This window comes from Homo sapiens, chromosome 1 (assembly GCF_000001405.40).
Source record: "Homo sapiens chromosome 1, GRCh38.p14 Primary Assembly".
NCBI lineage: Eukaryota > Metazoa > Chordata > Mammalia > Primates > Hominidae > Homo > Homo sapiens.
This window is the reverse complement of record NC_000001.11, coordinates 229057829-229065212: the sequence shown is the minus strand read 5'-3', so window position 1 is coordinate 229065212 and position 7384 is coordinate 229057829. Positions and strand designations below refer to the sequence as shown.

The 7384-nt window shown below is 48.0% G+C and overlaps 2 annotated features.

The window, feature by feature from the left end:
• Positions 4744–5243: an enhancer, noted in NCBI's record as "H3K4me1 hESC enhancer chr1:229195717-229196216 (GRCh37/hg19 assembly coordinates)". NCBI's record gives its function as "activates a minimal SCP1, AML or CMV promoter by ChIP-STARR-seq in primed H9 embryonic stem cells {active_cell/tissue: H9 hESC(primed)}" and the evidence as "EXISTENCE:reporter gene assay evidence [ECO:0000049][PMID:30033119]".
• Positions 5871–6371: an enhancer, noted in NCBI's record as "H3K4me1 hESC enhancer chr1:229194589-229195089 (GRCh37/hg19 assembly coordinates)". NCBI's record gives its function as "activates a minimal SCP1, AML or CMV promoter by ChIP-STARR-seq in primed H9 embryonic stem cells {active_cell/tissue: H9 hESC(primed)}" and the evidence as "EXISTENCE:reporter gene assay evidence [ECO:0000049][PMID:30033119]".

Here is a 7384-nt window from a genome sequence, read left to right as displayed (position 1 = left end):
CATGTGGGCTTTTCTTTCGAAAGCTGTCACTTGGGGAGCAATCTGTGTGTCCTCCTATTATATAGTTTGATGTCTTGTTAGAATAGAAAGATTTCAAAATTAGCATCAACATTTGGGGAGAAATCAAATCTCTTCCATATGCTACTTTGCTTGGGTAGCACCAAAAAAAAAGGCAGAGCTAAGCCCCAGAATGTGTCTCTCATAGCCCCCGCCCCGCGGCCCAAGCAGGTGTGTTCTCAGACGTGCCACCTCCACAGTGGCCTAATTTCAGCTTCTATGGCTGCTCCCTGCTCTTCATCCCCATGTTCTCTCTTCCCCCATCATCTGGCTCTGTTCCCCCTCTGCTCTTGCTTCCCTTGCTGATGCACCGTTGCTGATGCGGTGGCATTGTAACTTGAAGGCCAGCAATCTGAGACCCCCCTCCTCACTCCTGGGCTCTCTCCCTCATGCTGATTCTTACGGGAGGAAGGGCTGGGAATTGGTCAACGTGCCTCTGATCTGGCCACACCCTATTCTCCAGGGAGCCTTGTCAGGCCTTGCCTCACCCTAAACATAAAAACAAATGACGCTGACCTCAAAGTCAAGGCTTCCATAGAACTCTCAGATTAGAGAGCGAATATTCCCAGATCAAAGTAGGCACAACTCTTTTATGGACCACTCTCGGCAGTGAAGGATTCTGTTCTCTGACTCATTCATTGGAATCTTTGCAACTTGTTCAACTGCATATCCTACAGACAGGTCTCTGGGCATTTCATGGTGCCCTGTTGGCCAGAAAAAAGACCTTAGACCTTGACCTTTTTTGTTTTAACTGAATAATCTCCTGGGTCTCATCTAAGTAAATATTTTTCTTGTTCACGAAAGTTCCTGTGGTGAGCAGTGAATTCTCATACAAAAAATACTATCAAGCAAGGATTTCTTGCCTTCTAGGAAATCATCATTTTATCCAGGTTGATCTATCTTGGAAGATTACCAATTAGTCCTAACCATAAAAAAAATCAGTAAAATGCTTCCCTTTTGGCCTTTCATGCTGCCAGAGCAGATAAACTTCACCTCCCAGGGTCCAAGCACCGAGTACTGGCCTTGGGCTCTTTTTTTAGTACCTTGAGACCAAGGAAAACAAAGCAAATTCAGAATGAATAAAAATGATTTCATATATTATAATATATCATATTAATAGAGTGAAGTAGAAAAGTATGTTCTTTTCTTAATATACACAGAAAGAAAGAGACAATATTCAACATCAATGAGTTCTAAATCATTGGTAGCAAACTTGAAATAGGACAGAGCTTCCTTTTTGGGGCCCTTTGTCTTTGGCTCAGATTAATTCATTGAATCAAATAGCTGACACCTTGGAGATTTTGTAAGTCTGAGGTCAAGTGAGTGCCAGTGGAGAGGGAAGACGGACAAAAATAGGAGGGGGCAGAAGCCATCCAGGGTAGTTGTAAATTCCAGGCTTACCTCCGGGCTCTCAGGGGTCTCACTGGCATATTGAAGAAAATCAAAATATTTCATCCCAAAATATATTTCTTTGACACATTTTGAGATTGCTGTTCACAGAGCCCGCATACAGAAGCAGCCCTGCAAGGCTGTCATTTGTGGGGAAATTTGCACCTGCAGAGAATCTGATTGACGCAGCTGTCTCGGAGGCCCTCACTTGTCTGGATCTAGGAAAGATTAACTGAGGTTCTTTTTTAAAGAACTGACATCTTTAAAGATCTGAAAGAAACATTCACCATCTATGCTTTCTGAGGGCTGCTACCTGTGGGGTTTCTTGTATGTAACAAGGTGACCTTTGCTAGCCAGGCCTCCTCTTCTCCCCCTTCCATAACCTGTGTTGTCACCATAACCTGTTGCACCTCCAATGCTTGTTTTTGGTCATATTCTGAGTCTTCTTGTCTCTGTAACCTCAAGATGTACCCCACTGGGTGGCTGGGTAATCACTTTGTGATTTTCTCCTCTGTGCATGTTAGTAACTTTGTCTGCCTTTTCTCTTACTGATCTGCCTTTTGTCAGTTGATTTTTCAGCAAACCTTCAGAGAGCGAAGGGAAAGTTTTCCCTTGACCCCTACAATGTTAAGGTGGCACTGAGACACTGGCCAGTAGGGGCACCTCTCCTGGCCTCCCTCTTCTCCCCAGCATCTTGCATTGTCACAGTCCTAGCTTCTGTTCCCGACTAGTGGGACTGGAAAAAATGTGGGAGCAGCTTCAAGCCTGTTCTTCTCTCCTGTCCTGTATATGAGTGAGGGCACCAGGGCAGCCAGGCAGGATAGACTTTCATTTCTCTCTCACAGAACAGTCCAGAGGCAGGGCGGTCCTGGCAGGTTGGCTGGATGCATGAGGCCATCCCAAGACCCCAGCTCCTCCCCTCTTGATGCTCTGTCATCCCCTGGGTGGCTCACATCTGCACCTGCAGCCCATGGGAAGCACAGGGGGAGTAGAGGATGCCCCCTTCCTTTGTAAGAGATGGTACCTAGGAGCTGTCCTGGTCTACTTCTGCTCAGATCCCATCAGCTGGAACTCAGACAATGCCACACGCAGCCCCCAGGGAGACTGGGAGTGCTGGTCTCCAGCTGGGAAGCTGTGTGCCCTGCTGACCCCCTATTGAAGGAAAGAATGAGAGAATGGAGACAAGCACAGCCAGCCACTCCCTCCCTCCCAGCTCAACTCGGACCCCGCTTTCCACGGGAGTTCTGGGCTTGGGCCCCTTCCCAGTGCTCCTGCATGCCAGTGTCTGCGTCTGAGGGCCCCACATCCCCGCAGGTCCCGATTTGAGGGGCTAGCCACTCCCTTGGCTTCTGTTCCAGATTACTTAGTAGAGTTATGACACTCCTCCTGGCTGCCAGCTGCTGGCCCGAGCTTTGGGATGATCAGCTGAGGTCCTGGCACCTGGCCCTGCCTATGTGTTGGCAGGGGCATCCTGCACTAGCAGGCCACATTAGGGGAGGCTGCCCACCTCTCACTGCCCATCCTGTTGTAGCAACCCCCTGCCCCTGGGAGTCAGGCTCAGTTCTCCTCCCTTGGGCTCTACTCAGGTGGGCACAGATGAGAGGGCACTTCAAAGGGCACAGGAAAGGGTAATGGAAGGAAAAGTGGGCCTGGAGTGAGCCCAGAGTCCCAAAGCCCTCTGTCCCCTTCGATTCTTTGTCTGCACAGGAAACCAGAGGGTGAGAAGGACAACTAGGGATACGGGCTGACTGCGATTGTGAAGACCACGCTTGCCCACTCCCCAGGCTGCCACTGAAGGGCCAGGCCTCTTAGATGAAGGCTCAGAACGTAGGAGCTGAAAGAGACCTCAGCTCCTCCCCTGTGCAGCAGTGCTCAAGTGCTCTACCCAGCCTTGTGTTCAGGAGCCGCCTGCAGGTGCAAGGGAAGGAAAGGGACACCCTAGACAAGGCTGGTCAAGGTTGTCCACCCCACCTCCCCTTTGCTGCCAGAGTATTTCTTTCTTATCTGTTATGTGTTTGGGGGTTGTGTGCAATTATTTCACTTACTAAAAAGGATCCCACTGGTGGGAGGAAAAGAGGACTTGAAAGCCACTGATCCAGGACAAAGCCTTCCTTTTATACTTTTTTTCCTTCCTTCCTTCTTTCCTTCCTTCCTTCCTCCCTTTTTTCCTTCCTCCCTTCCTTCTTTCCTTCGTTCCTTCCTTCCTTCCTTCCTTCCTTCCTTCCTTCCTTCCTTCCTTCCTTCCTTCTCTATCTTCTTTCTTTCTTTTTCATATAACCCACAAACATCCTTCCATATACTTAAATTTTTTTCCAGACGAGGTTCTGCTATGTTGCCCAGGCTGATCTTGGATTCCTGGCCTCAAGTGATCGTCCTGCCTCAGCTTCCTGTGTAGCTGGGATTACAGGTGCCTGCCACTGCACTCAGCTTCTGTGTTTTGAACAGGCTCCATTGGTGATGCAGATGCTGCCTATGGGACCTGTGATGGTTAATTTTATAAGTCAACTTGTCTGGGCCATGGTATCCAGATAGTTTGTCAACTATTATTATTATTATTTTAATACAGCATTAAATTTTAATTTTTAATTTTAATTTTTTTTGAGACAGGGTTTTGCTATGTTACTCAGGCTGGAGTGCAGTGGTGTGATCATGGCTCACTGCAGTCTGGACCTCCCAGGCTCCAGGGATCCTCCCACCTCAGCCTTCCAAGTAGGTGGGACCACAGGCACGTGTATCACCACACCCAGCTAATTTTTGTATTTTTGGTAAAGACGAGGTTTCACTATGTCACCCAGGCTGGTCTCAACCTCCTGGGCTCAAGCGATTTTCCCACCTCAGCCTCCCAGTGTGCTGGGATTACAGACGTGAGCCGCCACGCCTGGACAGGTCAAATATTATAAATTTTTCTGTGAAGGTGTTTTAAATGAGATCAACATTTAAATCAGTAGACTTTAAGGACAGCAGATTAGCCTCCATAACACGGGTGGGCCTCATCCAAACAGTTGAACACCTTAAGAGAAAAAGACTGAAATTTCCCAAGGAATATGGAATTCCTCCAGCAAACGGTCTTCAGTTTTGAACTGAAACTCTTCCCTGGGTTTCCTGCCTGTCCACCTGCCCTACAGACTTTAGATCACCCTGGCCTCTACAGTCCTGTAAACCCATTCCTTAAAATAAAGTTTCTCTCCCTCTCTCTCTTTATGCACACACACACACACACACAGAAACACACAGACACACAAACACACACATACACATACACACAAACCCACACATACACACACACACACATGCACACACATATACACATACACACAAACACATACACAGAAACACACAAACATAGCACACACACATACACATACACACACACACAAACACACAGACACACACACATCCTGTGCATTCTGTTTATCTGGGTTCAAACTCCAGCTCTTCCACTTACAGTGAGATTTTAGACAGGCTATCTCAAATCTTTGCTTCTGTCTCTGTAAAGTGGAGATTATACATTTAGTCCAGTGCCTGGCACTTAGGAAACTATTAATAAATTAGAACTCTAACCTTCATCAGGCCATGATGATTATCATAGTAGCACTGGGAAAAACTGTAAGAAGTCTTGCCCTTCCTGTTCTTCAAGAAATCTTGTCTCTATCCCTCATTCTAAGCAGTGAAAACCTCACCTTTTCTTGAAAATCTCAAGGAAATGAGATTGTACAGACATCCTCTGCTGAGCACAGCAGCCCTGCCCGGCACGTGAGGGCCCGATGGCCCCAGTCCCACCTCTCCCCTCACTGCCGGGCAGCAGGGAGGAAGCAGCAGAAAGCGTTTCCCAGTCAGGACACGTTTGTTGTCAGCTCTTTCCTGGACAGAGCCAGCTTTTCCTTCTTGTTTTACTTGGCATCGATCTGTGTATTATCTGTGCAGTTCTCTGGAAAAGAACAGAAAACCAACTTCCTATGTGAATAGCCAAGAGCACTGACCTCTCTGATCTCTGGCTGTCTTCAGGACTAACTCAGAATTCCTGGCTCCTCCTGTCTCTGGCCAGGGAGGCCGCCTGAGTTGGTGCACAGAAACCTCAGCTGGTATCGGGAATGTTCTGCAGGACCAAGGGTGGTTCCAGGGTTTTTACATAGAAGGGGCTTGAAGGCAGGAGTTTGGTTGAAAGAGAAATTGTCCTATAATTGTATTTGCAGCACAAACACAATGGTTTTATTTAGAAGGCATATCACAGAGCATGAGGGTGACAAACTGGCCAGTGGGATAAATCTGTCCCCCTACCTGTTTTCGTAAATGAGGTATTGTTGGAACGCTTCTATGCCCTTTCTATTGCCTAAGACTTCTTTCGCATTGTAGCGGCAGAGCGGAGTAGTTGAAACAGAGGCTGTATGTGTGATCGCAAAGGTCTAAAATACTTACAATCAGGTCCTTTACAGGAAAAGTTTGCAAATCCCTGTAACACAGCAATAAAACAGCACATTTTAAAAAAAGATGCTACATTTATAACAATGTGCGTAAAAATAAGAAACTATCCTTTGCTCATTTCAAATCATATTTTGGGGATGTCTCGGTGGGTGGTTTAATGAGGCCCCTGGGTGGGAAGAGGAGTGTAAATTTTCCTAAGTGACGTTTGTGCTGTGACCATGGAGACACTCCTTCCTCAACCCAGGTCCTCTGAATCTCACAGAATGCCAACCTGTGGTCTGAGTTTCTGCTTTGTTTTCAGGTTTTGGCCTCTGCCCAGCAGCACAGACTGTCCTCTCACCCGGGTTGTTTTTTCAGTTTTTCTTGCATCGTGGCAGCTATGGAAAACGGCATTCATTATTTGTAAAAGGATGCGGCTGCTCACGGCTGAGGAGACAGCCACAGGAGCTGTCCCAGACCCCATCCCCAGGACTGAGGCATTGGCCTCTGCACACGTGAAACCCATTAGCAGCCCGGAAGACACTGCAGCGGAGGGCTGGGAGGCTCCCGCTGGTGAGCTTCCCCTTGTTCCTGGTGACAGCGCTCTGGATCTGCCACTCAGGGTGTCAAGGAGAGTCGGTCACACTTTCCTGTTCCTGCTCCAGGATGGGGCCTCCTGTCCCCCAGGGCCCCAACCTTAACAAAAACCTGAAGGAGCATGCTAGGTCCTGGTTGAGTTGTTTTCTCCTATGTTTCATTTAAGCCTAATTAAAGTTCTGGTATTAGGCCAGAGAGATATGATACTATTAGCTATGTTTTGTAATGGAGGAAATGGAACCTCAGAGCACTGCGGCAAGTTGCTCAGGTAAATGGGCTCTGAGCCAGAGGATCAAGTGCTGGCGGTGTGCTGGCAATGCCAACAACAGGATCTCCTTGCACAGCAGGGAGTGGGGAAGCCTCATCCACAGCATCTGCCCCAGCCCTTGAATAAATCCCCTACCCAGGGGGCTCACCAACCCCGGACTAGGATCCCTGACCCTCTCTGGGCCTCTATTCCCTGACCTGTGGGTTGAGAAGGTGTAGCGCCTGGAGCTGCGGAGCAGACCTGCACAGGAAGTGCTTTAAAAGCCACAGAACCTTTAAAAGCCACAATCTTAGACGGCGTGGGTCGGTGCCAGCAGAGTAGGAGCCCCAAGCATGAAAAGACCTGGCACATCCCACCTCGGTCACCCATGTGCGACTAAAAGCAGATCCGACACTAAGCCATATGTTTAAGAAGGCGTTTTTCTCATGATGCCTATGTAAATCATCACATAAAAAAAGTGTTGGGCTCCCTATCTTGCTATTGCCCTAAGCATGTTTTTGGCCTTTCCACTGGGTGACCCAGCCTGGGGACAATATGTTTGAGAAAGATAGGTATCTTGTAGCTTTCAGGACCCAGCTGGAAACTTTAGGAGAATTAGGGGTATCCAGTATCCAGGTTGGAGTAACTTCAACAGCCTGGGACTGAGTTTAGACAAATGGCCTGCAGAATTGT